The 20,439-nt window shown below is 40.7% G+C and overlaps 1 long non-coding RNA gene across 2 annotated transcripts in view; it reads right to left on the bottom strand.

The window, feature by feature from the left end:
• Positions 1-20,439, bottom strand: part of LOC105377727 (uncharacterized) — a 57,398-nt gene that overhangs the window by 7,393 nt on the left and 29,566 nt on the right. The window lies entirely within an intron of this gene.

Below are 20,439 nucleotides of genomic sequence, written 5' to 3'. Positions count from 1 at the left end.
ATCTCTCATTTTTAACTAATACAGTCTATTGCCTGGTAACACATTAAATATGCACTTCAATTATAAGATGCATTCTAATTTCAGAAACATAAACTCCCACACCATTCTAAAATACAGTATATACATACTAGTTTTCACTCTGGGAATTTGCTGGTGGGGCACTGCTGGCAAAAAAAAAAAAAAAAAAAAAAAAAAAGATGGAGTCATTTTCAAGCTTAGAAGCCAAGTTTCTCCTAAGCCAAAAATATTTCCATTAAATTCCTGTCATAGTGCCTGAAATTCCCACCATTCCATCTCCTTGCATTAGGGCATTCTATCCTCAGAAGTCCCTTGTGAAAGTGTGAACATGTTACTTGACAAGACAGTCAAAAGCATATTTTCTTCAATTGTCCAAAATATTCCCCCAGGAACTTCTTCTCCTGGTAACAAATCTTAGCCCCGTTTCCCATAAAGGCAGCACGTGATTCAGTCTGGACCAATCTTAGCATTCCATTCCCCTGGCCACTGACTGGTCCAGAGAAGGACATGTGACCCAAAGCGGGCCAATCAGAGATCTTCTCTGGGATTTTTTTTCTGACAAGATTTGCAGGAGAAACTCTTCTTGTCCCTTGGGCCATGGACCTGGAAGGGTATGAAGCCACAGAGCCCAGAGCTAGAGCCAAAGCCAGAGAAAAGGGCAAAGCTGGGAGTAGCGAGTGGCACATGAGGCCCTAAGACCAGCTCCATTCCCAGCCTTTCCTCAGACTGGCTATGAGGAGCCAATAATATCTTTTGGCGTAATCCCATTTGAGTTTGGTTTCTGTTCCTTGCAAACAACCTCACATCAGTTGGCTCCTACTGACACAAGCTCCTGAAATGGCAGAACACTGGACAGATAAATTTAGGAGAAAGGGAAGATATCAGGCATGGGCTTGAGGGGGGACAGGGCTGGAGGAGTGGACAAGACCAGGGACAAACCAAGCAGCCTCTCTACAAACTTTTGTGAGAACCTCAAAGCCAAACAGCAAGAAGTTCCATCAGCTAAAACCAGCTCCTCTACCAGCAGGTGTGATAAATGTGCAGGGTAACTTTCTTAAATACCTTCCCCTCTTTCCTATTCCATATGAAACAAGCATTCGTTGCAAGCTCCTTCTCTTTGAGCAGAAGCCCTGGAGTGAGGACACCTGGTCCAGCTCAGTTGCGTGCCCTGGATCCAACCACTTCCCCTCTTCAGAACTCACCGGAAAAACAGGAATAATGACTGCTTCCTTCCAGAGTCATTACCAGGATGAAGCAAAATAGCACACTGATGCGTTACACCCCAGGAGACTCTCAATATGTGGAGGTCATTTGGAGAGAAGGTTTCTCTCTAGGAAAGCTATCCCAGACACACAGAATGGGTGTGGGGAGCAGAAAAGTGCACAGGCTGACCTGAGACAGGTTCAGCCCAGCACCACAGAGTTGGGAGGTGTGTATTTTCTTATTTTCTGTATGCTTGATGCTCTGGCATCTGTGGCCCCACTGAGGGAGGAGAGACTGCCCTTCCCAGGGCTAGCCAGTTTTTAGAAATAGCAAACAAGTGTGCCTTCCTTACAAGCGTCCCTTCCATATGCATGTCAATCAATTTAGCCCAACTGGACTTTATCTTTTTTCCAACTACCCATCAAACTCTTCCCATATCAAGCCCCTTCTTCCCATATCCTCCTGCCCTAATCAATCCAGGGCCGAGTATCAGACTATGAGAGGCAGTCCCTACACCTGGGAGCCCACTGAAATTATTCAAACCGGCCAGTCCTAAACCTGCTTAACCTGTCTCACCCATTTTTTCCCATGGAAACCACAATCAATACTTTTGGACAACCCCTTCCCTCACTCCTTCTACCTCCTGCTGAACCTTGGCGCTTCCCCATGTGGCCTTGCACGGCGTGCGATGCCTCCTGTTTCTAGGGACCTAGAATGCTTTAAACAATTGCTTTTGCAAATTAAGACAATTTATAATATCCCGTGTGGAGGAAGGGGCGGAGAGATAGGTACTCCGGTGCCCTGCTGGAAGTTGTGTAAGTATAAACACTTCGTCCTTCGTGACAGTCGTGGGTCTTACCATACCTAATTTAGACAAATCCTGGGTACGTTTTAAAACAGAAGGTGTAAGTTCAAATCCCACCTGCCCTACTGCTCACCTGCAGTGGGACTAGGCCAAGCATTTCCTCTCTCTGAGCCTCAGTTACTGTATTGAGAAAAATAAGGGCAAGAATCATAACCACTTCGTGTGGCTCTTGGGAGGAATCATGGAAACCAGGAACAAAAGAAACCCCACACACTGTAAGCTTGAAACCACTGTGTCCGTATGAGCTAGTATTATGTAAGACTTCACCAGGAAAAGGGAGCAGCCCTGCTGAGCACAAGGAACAGGGGAGGCTTCAGGTTAAGGCCATAGATCGAGATGGGGCCCCATAGGTAGAGATGGTTAAGGCCATAGATAGAGATGGCCCCATAGATAGAGATGTTTAAGGCCATGGATAGAGATGGCCCCACAGATAGAGATGGTTAAGGCCATAGATCGAGATGGCCCCACAGATAGAGATGGTTAAGGCCATGGATAGAGATGGCCCCATAGATAGAGATGGTTAAGGCCATGGATAGAGATGGCCCCATAGATAGAGATGGCCCCACAGATAGAGATGGTTAAGGCCATCGATAGAAATGGCCCCATAGATAGAGATGGTCATGGTTAAGGCCATACATAGATTGAGATGGCCCCATAGATAGAGATGGTTAAAGCCATAGACAGAGGTGGCCCCAGCGGGAACACACCCCTGATTCCTTCACTACCAGGGAGCAGAGCAGCCACCGAGGAAGACAGGAGAGTTCTCAGCCACGCAGAGAGGACCACAGGACCGGGAAGCAGCAGCCCCAAAGTGGAGCCCCCAGTCTGTTCACCAAATTCCTCTTATCTGCCCTGGCCTGGCTGAGGAGTCCACAAAGGGAGCGGGGCTCAGGGAGAGAAAATAAAATCAGGCTCCAGAAGGGATACCTCAAATCCCAGGATTTCAACAGCCAAAGAGAAACACAGACACTTAGCTTTGAGCATTCCTGGCTCTTCCCTGCTAATGCTTTAAACAATTGCTTTTGCAGATTAAGACTATTTATAATATCCAGGGTGGAAGAAGGAGCAGAGAGATAGGTACCCCAGTGCCCTGCTGGAGTTGTGTAAGTTAATATGCCTTAAAGTGGCAGTTCCGCATTGAGTATCCAAAGTCCAAAAAGGGCATGTTATTCTTTGGCCAGCAATTCCACTCTTAGAATTTATCTTAAGGATTTACTCAGACAAGTGCACTAAGATGTATATACAAGGATATTCATCACAGTGTTGTTTATAACAGCAAAATACTGGAAATGATCTAAATATCCATCAATAAGGGATTGTCTAAATGAAGTGTTACATCCCTACTATGGAATGCCATGCGGCCTTCTAAAAAAGATGTTGCAAATTTACTTTTGTTGACAGTGGAAGATACCCATCATATGTTGTTGAGTGAAAAAAAAAATGGGTTGCAAAATAGCACATATAGCATGAGCATGTTTCTGTCAAATTATGCACATCTCTAAATCTACATGTAAATATGCAGATTGGAGGGATGATACCAAAATGAAGACTAGTTGTCTCTGGATAGTACGACTGGGGGGCATTTTTGCCTTCCTCTTTATACTTTTGTACTGTAACAAGATATAGACCATTTCATTCAGCACGGTTCCTAGAAAGCGGCTTCTTAGCCTTGGGATTGGAAAATTCTTCCTCGTAGGAGACTGCCCTGTGCATATTATAGGATGTTTAGCAGATCCCCAATTTCTACCTGCAAATACCAGTGGCACTTCCCTAACTCCAGCCCCCATTGTGACAATAAAAAACGTTTCTGGACACTGCCAAATGTCCCTGGAATACAAAATCATCCCTGATTGAGAACCACTGTCCCAGAGTAAGGAGAAGGCAGACTAGATGACAAGGCTGCTCCCAAGAAAAGACTTGGAAAGAAAGATTAGACCACATTGCCCTACAACTAACAAGGAAAGAGCCCGGGGCAGTCTGGGGAATGGGATTGAGCAAGATGGCAGAGGGCCAGATGGCACTTGACTCTATTACCCCTCAAGTCTTTGGTGGAGTTCAAAATCCTGAGAATCTTGAGCAAGACAGGTGTGCTGTGAAAATTGTGATAAGGCCAAACCAAGATGGAAGGCTTGGGTGCGGAACAGGCTGGTAGGGGATCAGTAGGAACTTGGTGGGAGCTGGCGGCATCTGGGAGGCTGCAGACACACATGGGCTGTGCCCCGGAGGCTTGAGGCTGCTGACACAGAGTCAGAACAGCACGCTAAGCCTTCACTAGCTCCATGCCTTACTCCTCTTTAGTTGTCATGTGCGATTGTTGTCTCCATCCAAAACAGGGCTGTCTGGAGTTTGTCAGGGCTTTGTGCCCACAATAGGTCTCTGAAAAATAAAAATTACTAGCATTTATTTAAGATTGTAACCACATGCCAGGCACTATTCAGAGACTTTTTTTTTTTTTTTTTTTGGGAAGGAGTCTCGTTCTGTTGCCCGGGCTGGAGTGCAGCGGCACGATCTCGGCTCACTGCAACCTCCACTTCCCAGGTTCAAGCGATTCTCCTGCCTCAGCCTCCCAAGTAGCTGGGACTACAGGCGTGCAGCACCACACCTGGCTAATTTTTGTATTTTTAGTAGAGATGGGGTTTCACCATATTGGTCAGGCTAGTCTTGAATTCCTGACTTCGTGATCCACCCGCCTCTGCCTCCCAAAGTGCTGGGATTACAGGCGTGAGCCACCGTGCCCAGCCCCAGAGACCTTTTAAAGCTATTACTTGTGTAATCCTCACAGCAGCTGTATGAGATATCATGACCACTCCCAGGTTACAGATAGGGAAACTGAGGTGTGGCCACTTAAAGTAAGTCAGCCAAAGCCCCCTAACTAGTATGAGTGAGAACTGGGTTTCAATCTGGCTCCAGAGCCTATGGTCTTTACCACTTCACTATTCTGTACCTGAAGAAGGGCCATGGGGCCCCAAAGCGAGAATGACAACATTCCCGACCACTGTGCTGAACTGCCTCTTTAATGCCAACACCTGCCATTAGTCCAGTGCCCCACACATGCCCGTGCAATAGAAGGTAATTTACATATACTATTTTTATTCCTCACAACAGCCATAGGAGACAAGCACTATGACTACTACTCTCATTTTACAGATGGGGAAACTGAGGCTGGATTCCCTGTCCTTTGTGCTAACTTGGTGGCCCTTTGATCCCCATGTTGCAATTTATCATGCATCTGTATCCCATCTGGTGGCAAGGGCTGTGCCTGACTCTCCTCTCACCCTCGGTGCCCAGCACTGGAAGTACGACACTGCAGTCTGTGCTCATCACTTTTTTGTGCGCCCAACATCAGAGCCCCTTCCTGGGTTTGAAGAAACAGCCACTGTGTAAGTCCTATTGAGCACCACCTCTCTCTACGGAAGCCGAACAGGCCAGACATATGTTTTCCTGGCCCCTGAAATTCAGCCAGCCTGTCCAGTGACTCCATCTGGGACACAAACATGTATGCAAGACAGAAAGAAGCAGAAATCCTTCCTATTTCATCACAGAGTTGGTGGCATCTGGGACCTTGAGTACTGGGCTGCAGCAGAATGGAGTTGCAAGTCCAGTGGACCAGTGGCCAGTGGCAGCCAGGACAGCAGTAGCAGTGTTCTAATCAGATCTGAGGATGACGTCTCTGTGTGTCCTTGGCTCACCAGCCTCTCCCTCAGTCCTTCTACAAGCTGCCAAGCCAGGATCCTTGCAATAAACCCTTTTTTTGCACAAGTCCAGATTGATTTCTGTAATAACAGTTGCAAATATGCAACTAAGATCCTAATGCTAATCAAGAGTAAAAAAAGAAGAGAGGGCAGGAAGAAAGGAGATAATGCAGGAGAGCAGGAGGGAGGGAAGCCATGCATCACTTTCACCCTGTAAGAATCACTACGTCGGCCAGGCACGGCGGCTCACGCTTGTAATCCCAGCACTTTGGGAGGCCGAGGCGGGCGGATCACGAGGTCAGGAGATCGAGACCACGGTGAAACCCCGTATCTACTAAAAATACAAAAAATTAGCCGGGCATGGTGGCGGGTGCCTGTAGTCCCAGCCTCTCGGAGACGCTGAGGCAGGAGAATGGCGTGAACCCGGGAGGCGGAGCTTGCAGTGAGCCGAGATGGCGCCACTGCCCTCCAGCCTGGGCGACAGAGCAAGACTCCGTCTCGAAAAAAAAAAAAAAAAAAAGAATCACTACGTCAAGTAAAATGTCACCAGCACTTTCTACTTTTGCCACTTGAAGCATCAGATGGTCTGAGTGGAAGCACTCACTTATGCAGACTCCGCAACCAGCTGCAGATGTGGCCAAATCAGACACAGGAGATAAGGGAAAAGATCAGCTTTGGGGTACCGAGCTGAAGCCACTGTTGGAAAACCCTATTCCTACTGAAACCCCACTCTGAGCCAACCTAACTATAGAAATAGCCTGAGATTATATTATCCTAATTGCTCCTGCAATTCAGGTATTGAGACCTCCCTTGTTCAATGCACTAGAGGGGAAATTGGCCTAAGCACCTTTAGTTCTACATGCTGTGGAGTCCAGGATCCCAAGCTTGCAGTGGATGAGTCAGCTGGGAATAAGAGTCATGTGATACTAAATATGGCCACACCAGCCCAAAAGGTGGCCCAAGAAGGCAGCCAGTACTGGCACCTTGGGGCCAGACAGTACAGGCCAGGAAGATAAGAAGGGCTCTGTTCTCTCCTCTATGGCTCCACCCTTATCATCCCTTCCCTTGGAACCTTCTCTGCCCTTAGCATGAAGTGGTCAAAGAAGCCTCAATTTTTATGTGGTTGTTAGGCTCATCCTGGCCTCTAAATTTCCCCCACCTTGCCCTGGCCCTTCATTACCATGGGCAGAGCCCATCCAGATATAGAGCCTGCCAAAAATCTCCCTGTATTTCTGCAGGAAGAACCCTTAATGTGGACAGGCTGAATTGAGCCTTCATAGACACCTAGTTATTCCTCCCTAAATAAAATTGTTAGTTTTGCCTGTTTTTTAAATGCTTTTAAAAATAGATTCATACTGTATGTATTCTTTTGTGCCTTACTCCAATTTGCTCAACATTATATTTTTAAGAACCAAGGTTGTGAGTAGTTCATTCATTTGCATTGTATGAATATACTACAATTTATCCATTGTACTCTCAATGAATATTTGGATGGTTTCATATTTGGGTATTACAAATTATGCTGTGAACACTTGTGTGTTCTTAAAGCCTATTTTATAGGAATTTAACACAGCTACATCAGTTTTCCCTTGCTCAGCACTTCTATAGTATTTCGTTTTCTATCTTTTTATTTTTAACCATTCTGTATTCTTATGTTTTAGATGTGACCCTTATAAATAGCATATAGTTAGGTTTCGTATTTTCCCCCCCGAGTCTGACAGTGTTAATCTTTTAAGAGAATAATTTAGTCCATTTACATTTAATATAATTGCTAATAGTTCTTTTTTCTGCCTATAACTGTTTCATTTTCTCTTATGTATTGACTTCTTTGGGATTTTTTTTCTCTTCTAATTTGTAAGTCATTTACTTTTTAGTGCTTACCCATGCATCCTTGACTCATCAGTGTCTAATTGATTTGTATATTTATCTTCCTCACAAATAGAAAGACTTTAGAACATGTTAACACCATTCATCCCCCTCCTGACTTTTGTATTATAGTTGCTGTGTATTTTAGTTCTACATATATTTTTAAGGCTCCATTGGTGTTCATTTAAATTTACCACTTTCTTTGCTGTTCATTCTTTCTTTCATTTCCTTTTTGTTTTGCTAGTGTTAAGGTTATGTTTACCTTTTTAAAACAACTTATTGAGTTGTCATTTACATACCATAAAATTCACCCACTTAAAGTGTACAATTCAGTAGATTTTAGTGTGCAACCATCACTACAGCCAATTTTAGTACATTTAATCACCTCAAAAAAAAAAAAACCTTTGTACCCATTAGCTCTTACCCACTATTCTCCACCACTCTCTTCTGTTTCCATAGATTTCCCTACTCTGGACTATCATATGAATGGAATCATATAATATGTGAACTCCGATAATGGACTTCTTTCACTTAGCAAAACCATTTCAAGGTACATTCATGTTGTAGCAAGTATCAATACTTTATTTCTTTTTTAAAAAATAATAAACTTTATTTTTAGAGCAGTTTTGAGTTCACAGAAAAGTGGAGCAGAAAGTATAGAAATTCTTCCCAGATTTCTGTACACTGCCTGTTCTCAGTCATGCAAAATTTCCCCGCCTAGTAACATCCCACACCACCATGGTGTATTTGTTACAATTTATGAACCTACGTTAGCACATAATTATCACCCAAAGTTCATAGTTTATATTAGGATTCACTCTTGAAGTTGTACATTCTATAGGTTTTGACAAATGTAAAATGACATATATCCACCATTGCAGTATACATAGTAGTTTCAACTGCCCTTAAAAGGTCCTTTGTGCTCTGCTATTCATCCATCCCTCCATACAGGCCCTTGGCAGTCACTAATCTTTTTATGGACTCCATAACCTTGTCTTTTCCAGAATGTCATGTAGTTGGATCCATAAAATATATAGCATTTTCAGATTGGTTTCTTTTACTTGGTAATATGCATTTAAGTTTCTTTCATGTCTTTTAATGACTTGATAGCTCAATTCTTTTAGTGTTTAATAAGTATCCCACTGTCTAGATATAGAGCAGTTTATATATCCATTCACCTCCCAAAAGACATCTTGGTTGCTTCCTAGTTTTAGCAATTATGAATAAAACTACCATAAACTTCCATGTATAGGAGCTACCATAAACTTCTATGTGCAGGTTTTGGGTGGATATAACTTTTCAATTCATTTGAGGATGTACCAAGAAGTGTGATTTCTGAATTGTATGGTAAAAGTGTATTTAGTTCTGTGAGAAACTGCCACATTGTCTTCCAAAAATGGCCGTACCATTTCGTTTTCCCACCAGTAATGAATAAGAGTTCCTATTGTTCTACATCCTCATCAGCATTTGGTATTGTCAGTGTTTTGCACTTTGGCCATTCTATTAGGTATGTAGTGGTAGTATTGTCTTAATTTGCATTTTTGTAATGACATGATATGGAACACCTTTTCATATGTTTACTTGCTATCTATATATCTTCTTTGTTGAGATGTCTGTTCAGGTCTTTTGCCCATTTTTAAATTGGGTTGTTTATGTTTTATTGTTGAGTTTCAAGAGTTCTTTGTATATTTTGAATAAGTCATTTATCAGATGTGTTTTGCAAATATTTTCTTCTAGTCTGTGGCTTGTCTTCTCATTCTCTTGGCATTATCTTTTGGAGAGTAGAAGTTTTTAATTTTAATACAGTTCAACTTATTATTTCTCTCATGAATTATGTTTTTGGTGTTGTACCTAAAAGTCATTGCCATACCCAAAGTCACCTAGATTTTTCTCCTATATTATCCTCTAGGATTTTTGTAGTTTTGTGTTTTATATTTACATCTATGATCCTTTTGAATTAGTTTTTGTGGAAGATGTAAGACTTATGTCTAAATTCGTTTTGTAGCATGTGGATGTTCAGTTGTTCCAGTACAATTTACGGAAAAGACTATCTTTGCTCCAGTGTATTGCCTTTGCTCCTTTGTCAAATATCAGTTGACACTTTTTATGTGGGTCTATTTCTGGGCTCTCTAACCTGTTTCATTGACCTATTTGCCTAATCTTTCACCAATATCACACTGTATTGATTGCTGTAGCTTTATCACAAGTCTTAAAGTCAAATAGTTTCAGTTCTCTGATGGGGTTCTTCTCTTTCAATAACAAGTTGGCTATTCTGGGTCTTTTGCCTCTCCATATAAACTTGAGAATCAATTTGTTAATATCCACAAAATAATTTGCTGGGATTTTGGCTGGGATTGCATTGAATCTATAGATCGAATTGGGGAGAACTGACATCTTGACAATATTATGTCTTTTCATCCATGAACATGGAATATCTTTACCTTTATTTACTTCTTTGATATCTTTCATCAGAGTTTTCTAATTTTTCTCATATAGATCTTGTACATATTTTGTTAGATTTATATCTAAGCATTTCATTTTTCTTGGTGCTAATGCATATAGTAATTTTTTAAATTTCAAATTCCACTTGTTTTTTGCTCAATATAAAAAAGCAATGGACTTTTGTATATTAACTTTGTATCTTGCCACCTTGGTATAATTGCTTATTAGTTTCAGGAGTTTTGTTGCCAATTTTGGGAGGGAGGATTTTCTATATAAATGATCACATCATCTATGAACTAAGATAATTTTATTTCTTCCTTCCCAGTGCATATACCTTTTATTTCCTTTTTTATCTTATTGAATTAGATAGGACCTCCAGTATGATATTGAAAAGGAGAGGGGATACTCTTGCCTTGTTCCTCATCTTAGAAGAAAAGTGTCTAGTTTCTCACCATTACATATGATATTAGCTGTAGGGTTTTTTTTGTAAATGTTCAGTAAATTTATCTTTATTCCTAGTTTTTTGAGAGTTTTTATCACGAATGGGTGTTGAATTTTGTCAAATGCTTTTTCTGCACCTATTGATATGATCATGTGATATTCCTCTTTAGCCTGTTGATTAGTGGATTACATTAATTGTTTTTTTGAATGTTGAACCAGCCTTGAATACCTAGGGTAAATTCCACTGGTGGTGGGCTATAAATTTAATTTTTATATATTTTTTATTCAATTTGCTGATGTTTTGTTGATGATTTTTGCATTTACGTTCATGAGATATACTAGTCTGTAGTTTTCTTGTAATGTCTTTTTCTGGTTTTGGTATTAAGTTCATGCTGAGCATATAGAGTGAGTGAGAGAGTTACCAAGTATTCTGTCTAGTTTTATCTTCTGAAGAAGGTAGTAGATAATTTGTATAATTTATTCCTTAAATGTTTGGTAGAATTCACCAGTGAACCCATCTGGACTTGGTGCTTTCTGTTTTGCAATGTTATTAATAATTGATTGAATTTCATTAACAGATATAGTCTTATTCAGATTGTCCTTTTTTGCTCATGTAAGTTGTGGTAGATTGTATCTTTCAAAGAATTGGTCATTTCATCTAAGTTATCAAATTGGTTGGTATGGTTTTTCATAATATCTTTTATTATCTTTTAAATGTCTATGATATCTGGAGTAATGTCCCCTCCTATATTTCTGATATTAACAAGTATCTTCTGTCTTTTTTTCTTAGTTAGCCTGGCCAGAGGTCTATAAACCTCATTGATCTTTTCAAAGAACCAGCTTTTGATTTTGATTTTCTCTATTGATTTTCTGTTTTTAACTTCATTGATTTCTACTATAATTTTTATTATTTCTTCTGCTTACTTTGGATTTAATATGCTCTTTTTCAAGTTTTTTAAGGTGGAAGCTTTCATCATTGATTTTAGGTCTTCTTTTCTAGTGTATGTATTCAATGTGATAAATTTTCTTCTAAGCGTTGCTTTTACTGTATTCCACAAGGTTTGATAAGTTCTATGTTCATTTTCATTTCATCCAAAATATTTTTTAAATTTCTCATGAAAGCCAGGCATGGTGGCTCATGCCTATAATCCCAGCATTTTGGGAGGCCACAGTGGGCATATCACTTGAGCCCAGGAGCTTGAGACCAGCCTGGGCAACATGAAAAGACCCCACCTCTACAAAAAAAATACAAAAATTAGCCAGGTGTGGTGGTGTGCCCCTGTAGTCCCAGCTACTCAGGAGGCTAAGGCAGAAGGATCAATGGAGCCCAGGAAGCCGAGGCTGTAGTGAACCATGATGGTGCCACTGCACTCCAACCTGATAGAGTAAGACCTTATCAATCAGTCAATCAATCAAATAATCAGTTTCTCATGAAGTTTTCTTTGACCCATGTGTTATTTAGAAGTTTCTTGTTTAATCTCCAAGTTTTGGGGGAAATTTTCTAGTTATCTTTTTGTTATTCATTTCTAGTTTAATTCCACTGTGGTTTGAGAGAAGATATTGTGTGATTTCCATTCTTCCAAATTTGTTCAAGTGTGTTTTGTGGCTCAGAATCTATCTTGGTGAATGTTTCATGTGATCTTGAGGAGAAGGTTTAATCTGCAGTTCTTGGATGAAGTAGTCTGTAGATGTCTGTTATATCCAGTTGATTGATAGTGCTATTGAATTCAAGTATGTCCTTACTGATTTTCTACCTGATGGATCTATCCATTTCTGGTGTTTAAATCTCCAACTGTAATAATGTTTCATCTATTTCTCTTTGCAGCTCTATCAGTTTTTGTCTCATGTATTTTAACACTTTGTTGTTAGTTGCATACACATTAAAGATTCCTGTCTTCTTGGATTATTGGCCCTCTTATCATTATGTAATACCCCTCTTTATCCTTAATAATTTTCCTTGCGCTGAAGTCTGCTCTGTCTGAAATTAAAATACCTACTCCCACTTTCTTTTGATGAGTGTGAGCATGATATATATTTTGCCATCCCTTTACTTTTAACCTGTGTGTGTTTATATTTAAAGTGGTTTTCTTATAGAAAATATATATTTAGGTCTTGTTTTTGGTCCACTCTGACAATCTGTCTTTTAATTGGTGTACTTAGACCAATTTTTATGTTTAAAGTGATTATTGATCTAGTTGAATTATATCTACCATGTTTGTTACTGTTTCCTATTTGTTGCCCTTGTTCTTTGTTCCTACTTTAGTCTTCCACCATTTTTCTGCCTTTTGTGATTTTAATTGAGCATTTTATATAATTCCATTTTCTCTCTTTTCTTAGCATATCAGTTATACTTTTTTGTTTACCTCTTTTAGTGATTGCCCTAGAGTTTGCAATATACATTTACAGCTAATCCATGTCCACTTTCAAATAAAAATATACTGCCTCACGGATAGTGCAAGTACTATATAGTAATAAAATATTCCAGATTCTGTCTTCCTGTCACTGATACCATTGCTGTAATTCATGTCATTTATATATAATCATACATAAGCATATATATATATATACATATATCTAAGTACATTGTTGCTATTATTATTTTGGACAAACTGTTATCTCTTAGATCAGTTATGACTAAGAAAAACCAGTTTTTTTCATTTTACCTTCACTTATTCATTCTCTGATGCTCTTCCTTTCTTTATGTAGATCCAGTTTCCAACCTACATGTTTTCTTTCTCTCTGGAGAACTTTTTTTAACATTTCCTGCAAGGCAGGTCTACTGGCAACAAATTCCCTCAATTTTTATTTGAGAAAGTTTTTATTTTTTTCACTTTTGAAGAATAATTTCATAGGGTAAAAAGTTCTAGGTTGGTGGGTTTTTTCTCTCAACACTTTAAATATTCCATTCCACTCTCTTCTTGCTTGCATGGTTTCTGAGGAGAAGCCAGATGTAATTCTTATCTTTGCTTCTCTATGGGTAAGGCATTTTCCCCCTCTGGTTTTTTTTTTAAGGTTTTCTCTTTATTGTTGATTTTCTGAAGATTGAATATTATATCCTAGGTGCCGTTTTTCTGACGTTTATCTTGCTTGGTGTTCTGTGAGCTTTATGTAATCTGTTGTTTAGTGTCTGGCATTAATTTGAGGGAAATTCTTAGTCATTGTTGCTTCAAATATTGCTTCTGCTCCTGACTCTTTCTTCTCCTGATATTCCCATTACATGTATGTTACACCCTTTTGTAAGTTCTTCATAGTCTGTTCTTGGTTAGTGTGTTCTGGGTGGGTGGGGGGGTGGGGATTGGTCTTTTTTTTCTCTTTGCTTTTCAGTTTTGGAAGTCTCTACTGTCATACCTTCAGATCAGAGATTCTTTCCTCAGCCATATCGAGTCTACTAATAAGCTGATCAAAACCATTCTTCATTTCTGTTACACTGTTTTTGATGCCTAGAATTTCTTTTTTATTCTTTCTTAGAATTTCCATTCTTCTGCTTACATTATCCATTTGTTATTATATGCCTTCTACCTTTTTCATTAGAGCCCTTAGCATAATAATCATATTTTTAAAAACATTATTTGTCTTATAATTCTAACATTCCAGCCTTACCTGACTCCTGTCCTGATGTTTGTCCAGTCTCTTCAAAATGTGTTTTTGCTTTTTAGTATGTCTTGTAATTTCCTGTTGAAAGGTGGATGTGATGTACTGGGTAAAAGTAACTCCAGTAAATCGGCCTTTAATAATGTAGTGGTAAGGTGTGGGGGAGGGGAACCATTCTATAGTTCTATAATTAAGTCTCAACCTTTTTGTTTTGTTTTGTTTTGTTTTGTTTTGTTTTCACTCTTGTTACCCAGGCTGGAGTACAGTGGCACGATCTCAGCTCACTGCAACTTCCACCTCCCAGGTTCAAGCAATTCTTCTGCCTCAGCCTCCCAAGTAGCTGGGATTACAGGCATGTGCCACCATGCCCAGCTAATTTTGTGTTTTTAGCAGAGACAGGGTTTCTCCATGTTGGCCAGGCTGGTTTCAAACTCCTGACCTCAGGTGATCCACCCACCTCAGCCTCCCAAAGTGCTGTGATTACAGGCGTAAGCCACCACACCTGGCCTAAGTCTCAGTCTTTTGATGAACCTGTACCTCTGGACTGTGAACTTCATCAGTGCCTCTCAGTTTTGTTTTTCCCCCTATGTGTGACAGGATGACTAAGGCTGGCTGGAACTGGGTATTTCTCTTTCTATAGGCCAATCAGGCTCTGATATATCCCAGCAGATTAGAGTCTGGTAAAATAGTTTCTTCTGCAGGCAACCTTTGTTAAGAAGAACATAATGCTCTGGGGCAGTGGTCCCCAACCTTTTTGGCACCTGGGACAGACTTCGTGGAGACAATTTTTCCACAGCCAGAGTTGGGCAGGGGATAGTTTGGGATGAAACCGTTCCACCTCAGATCATCAGGCCTTCGTTCTCATAAGGAGCATGCAACCTAGATCCCTTGCATGAGCAGTTCACCATAGAGTTCACACTCTTATGAGAATCTAATGCCGCCACCCATCTGACAGGTGACAGAGCTCAGGCCATAATGCTTGGTCACCTGCCGCTCACCTCCTGCTGTATGGCCCAGTTCCTAACAGTCCTTGGACCAGTACTGGTCCACAGCCCAGGGGTTGGGGACCCCTGCTCTGGGGTATTTCAAAATGATTCATTTTCCCCTCTGCTGCTGGAAGCATAAGGGGATTTTCTCTCTGATTTTTCACTGTGAGGACCTAGTAGAGCTTCTGGAGATAAAACTCACAAAAGTGTGGTGGTCCTTCTATGACTGGGTCCCCCTGGAGTTTTAACTGTCAAACTAAGCCTCCACACTAAGCCTCTAGCAATTCACAGTTACAGTTCAGGTTTTCCTGTCCTGGCACTGACTCTCACGGAGGTTTCTACTCATGGTTTCTGCTCTGGTATGTTGTGATTCTCTATATTCACCCATCTGTCTCTCCAGTTTGGGGGCAGCCATTTGCCCGGTGACCTCACTTCTCTTACAGATACAAGAAAAGTTATCTTGCAGTTTGTTCAGCTTTTTACTTGTTAAGACAGAGTGGCAACTTCTAAGCTCCTTATATGATGGGCTGGAAACTAGAAGTCCCCTTCCTTCTTTTTATGGCCAAACAATATTCCGTTGTATGGATATACCACATTTTTAGCCATTCATCTATTGCTGGACATATGGGTTGTTTCTACCTTTTGGCTATTACAAATAATGCTGCTATAAATATGTGTACATGTTTTTGGGAGAACATATATTTTGATTTCTTGGGCATATACCTAGGAGTGGAAGTGCTGAGTCATATGGTAATTCTATGTTTAATTATTGAAGAATTGCCAAACTTTTTCCAAAGTAGCTGTGCCATTTTACTTTCCTACTAGCAGTGTATGAAAATTCCAGTTTCTCTACATCTTCACCAACATGTTATCCTTTTACTTTATTTTAGCCATTCTAGTGGGTATGAAAAAGTATCTGAATGGTTTTGACTTGTATTTCCCTGATGACTGATAAAATTGTACATATTTCCATGTGCTTATTGGCCACTTATGTATCTTCCTTGGAGAAATGTCTATTCAGATCCTTTGTTCATTTTTTAATTGGGTTATTTTTTATTATTATTGAGTTGTAAGAGTTTTTAATATATTCTAGATATACATTTTTATAAGATATATGATTTGCAAATATTTTCTCCTATCCTGTGGGTTGTCTTTTTTTTATAGTGTTCTTGGAAGCACAAAATATTTTCATTTTTATGAAATCCAATTTACCTATTTTTTCTGTTATTGCTCATCTTTCATTTCTGATCTTCCATCTGGAATTATTTTCTTCTGAAGAATACCTTTAGTGAGTGTCTACTGGTGACCATTTATCTGGGGAGTGTTTGGTCAAAAATTGCATTTATTTTACTTCCATTTCTACAGGATATTTCCATGTGTACTAAGTTAGGGGTTTGGGGTACTTTCCCCCAGTACATCAATGATGTTATTTTGCTGTTTTCTGACTTCCATTATTGCTATTGAGAAGTCAGCTGTTCTATCACTCCTTTGAAAATACTATCCCTTTTCTCCAGCTTCTTTTAAGATTGTTTTCTTCAGATTCACTATGATATACCAAGATATAGATTTTTTTTTTTGTATCCTACTTGGGCTTCTTGAATTCATGAATATTGAAATTGGTATTTTTCAACAGATCTGAAAATTCTCAGCCATCATCTCTTTGTATTTCTCTTTCCTTCTAGAACTCCACTCCAATTACAATAGTTAGAAGTTCTCACTGTGTTTTATCATTCTTTCTTAAATATATTTAGTCTTTTTGTCTCTCAGGATACATTCTGGATACTTTCTTCTGATCTGTCTTCCAGTTAATTAATTTTCTCTTCAGCTGTATCTAATGTACCATTAAACAGACTGTGAGTTCTTAATTTTTTTATTTTTTAGTTTTCAAAGTTTATTTTGTTTTTTCAATTTACAATATAGTTTCTCATAGTTTTTTGTCCCCCAATATTTCTTTAAGCATAGTACACATTTTCCTTATATTCTGTGTCTAACAATTCTAATAACTAAAGTTTTTGTGTGTGTGCTTCTGTTCTCACTCAGGTTTCTTATTTCCTTAAGTACCTGACTATTTTTCACTGTGTGCCAGACATTTGATTTGAAAAAGTATTTGTAAGAATGATTTGTTACCTAAAATGGTGCTATTTTTCTGCACAAAGGAATTTGGTTTGCTTTTACCAAGAGTCTGGAAACTCTACCAGCATGGAACCACCTTAATTCAAGTTCAAGGTTTGTTGTTTTCTGGATGACCTAGATGACTAGAACCTATAAGTCTGTGGGAATTCATTTACTTATGCTTTATCATAACTTTCAGAGATAGCCATTTGGGATCCCAGCCGAAAGGGAGGAAAGAGAACAGTTATCACAGGCCCTACTTTTGGTAGACTCTGGGCCTTATATTTTTTCCTGAGGCCACCAAGACCATAGCTGTTTCTTCTGGATTAGTAAATGTCCTTAGGGAAAATACAGCTTTGCATACCAGGTTTACTTCTCTGGGTTCTCATTTTTTACTGGATTTTAGTCAGCTAATTCTTTACTCTCTTATTAGCTCTTTGATACATTTAAGATGTTATTTTCCATATAGCTTTTCCCATTGTCCTCTTTGGATGGTTTGGTCCTAATTAACGGTCCCCCATACAGTGTCTCATGCAAGCTTCATGGCAGTTCTATTGGGTGAGAAAGCAAAGAAACTTTTTTATATGAGGAATGTGAGCCCCCTTTAAATTATCAGGCCCAGGGAGGCGTTGGAATGAGACAGCAGTTACATCCCACCCCATTCCCTTGAGCTAAGTAATCATCTCCTGAAGCCACTTGTTATTTGGACTCTAGACTCACTAACACCCCAAGAAACTATAAATTAAACTAACAATGTTGCACGTGGACATAATAACTCATAGCCTATACTAATATATAGCCAATTACTAATCAATGTTATTTCTGCTAACCTATGAGAATTCCAGAGAAACATCTTTTGTAATCACCCCCTCTCCTGATTCACCCTGTCTTCTTTCAAAGCTGGGGCCTCTCCTTTATTCTCCAGAGCACTTCCCAAGGTAACTTGGAAGTGTTTTCCAGGTTGCAGTCCTCAAATTTAACCCAAATAAACTCTCTACTTATATTAATTTTGCCTAAATTTCTTCCATGGGTACATAGTATTACTTACATTTTGTTGATGTAGAAACTAAGGCTCAGAATGGAGAAATGACTTGCCCCAGATTGCACAGAGGATGTGGTAGAGCATGAATTGGACATCAATTAGCAAAAGTTCCATTAACCACCTCTTTCATAAAACAGGTGCCAACTATATCTGCAAAACAGGCACAATGCCCTTCTCTACCAGATATCCGGGTGGATCAACTGACATTACAGTTTTGAAAGAATTTTCCAACGTGAAAAATTCTCTGCACACTGCAGAGGTGATTACAATGAAATTTTACTTAGCAATGACAATGACCTTTTATAGAAGTGGCTTTGATACTCACTGGGAACTACATTTTTAGCTTAGGAGTTGAAATTGGGATTAAAGTCACCTCCTCATTCATTGTATTCATGCCTTTAGCATGTAGTTAGCATCTACTCTGGGCAGACCTGTGCACAGAGATCTCCCGTCTCAGGGAGGATTGGACAAGACTGTATGATATGGTGTGATCAGTGCCTGGGGAGGTGCTGGGAGCAGTAGTAGGACAGCAGCAGTAATAAACAAAACAACTACCATTTATTGGGCAGTTACCATGTACCAAGCACTGACTACTCTGAATTAGATACACACACCCACACACACAAACATACACACACACATTTGGTCCTCAAGGTATGAGGAGGTATACTGATCACTTTCCAGCTGTGAGACCTTGGATAAGTTATTTTGCATTTTTGCACAATGCGACTAACAGTAGCCCCTACCTCCTAAATGCATCAATATAAAGAGTTTGATAAAGGCAGCTATTATATACTAGTCCTGTGGTCAGATGAAAACACCAAGGCTCAGAGAGTTTAATCTACCTGCCCGCCTTCCACAGCTGATAAACAAACATTACTCAGTACCTGCTGTGTGCGGGCCACAGTGCTAGGGGCTGGGCCATATTCAGAGCAAACATGGCCCCTTTCTCAGACGGCCGAAACAGCCCAGTATCCAACTCTAAAGGCTATGACTTTGCCCCAGCATGGGCAGCAGAGCATGGACAGGTCATGGGAGACTTCCCTAGGGAAATTCCTCCATCTGGCTTACAAAGCACAAAGACGGGTTTTGCAGATGGAAAAGTTGAGCAGGAGTGTTTCAGGCAGGGAGAACAATGCACGCCGAAAACGAGGGCACGGACCTTTTTCTTTCTTGTTCTGTCTGGGGAGGAGCACATCCTTCACCTGCATTTTCCATCCAAGTGCTGACGCAGCATCCTTGTTACAAGGAAGTAGGTCACATTTCCAGTCCCTCAAAAGGAAACTGCTACCTCCATTGTGACAGAGTGTGAAACAGCCACCTCCGCTGCCTCCCCCACGTGCCTGTGATCCTGGCTCCCTGGAGTTTGCTATTCCCAGAGCAGCTTTCCTCTCCCTGACCGCTGAGTGAGCCTTGCAGGGGAATTCAGCAGCAGCCCCTGAGCTGGCCCTGATAGAGGTGGGGGTGCGGTGGGGAGAATCTGAGGCTGGCGTGGGTGCCATAGCCCGCTTTCTGACGCAGCTGACTTGTACCAAGAGGGGAGTGGCTTTTCTCAGGGGGAAAAAAGCTCAGGTAGTGAACCTTGCAAAGGAAGTGGGGTCTCAAGCCCTACCTCGCCTATGATCTACTCACACAGAGCTTTGGAGCCTTTCTTTAGAGGACTGCAGAGACTCTGGGGTCATCTCAGTATGACAGTAAACCTAAGCCTGGGCAACAGATTACACCAAGGACCTGTGGCCATGGGCTCCATGCTGCCTGCATCTGCTTCTTGGAGCTGCCAAGGAAATGATTGATCCCAGGCCCAAGCCATGCAGCTAAGTGTTAGATTCGAGCTAATGATGCCGAGTTCTCTGCGAAAGAGTTCTCTGGGAGAGTGTGTAATGTGGTGGAAACGGTGAAGATTTGGAGACAGATGGGTATCATGAGCAGAACTGTCTCAAAAGGACCCCAGAATCTCATCCCATGTTGTCTAAGCAATGAGCTACAGGAGGACCACCCTGTTTCCACAGATTAATGGCCCCCTCTTCCCACCACCATGGCAGGGGAACTATAACATCCCACTGGCCCCCAAGATCCCCAAGGCCCCTGGATGCTGGCAGTCAGCATCCCCAAACAACCTCTGCAAACAGCCATCTCCCCAACTCCACTCCGCCTGGATCCAAGCAGCTGTGATGCTCCAGG

Source organism: Homo sapiens, chromosome 5, assembly GCF_000001405.40.
Source record: "Homo sapiens chromosome 5, GRCh38.p14 Primary Assembly".
Classification (NCBI taxonomy): Eukaryota; Metazoa; Chordata; class Mammalia; order Primates; family Hominidae; genus Homo; species Homo sapiens.
The sequence above is the reverse complement of the archived record's forward strand: the minus strand, read 5'-3'. Positions and strand labels throughout refer to the sequence as shown.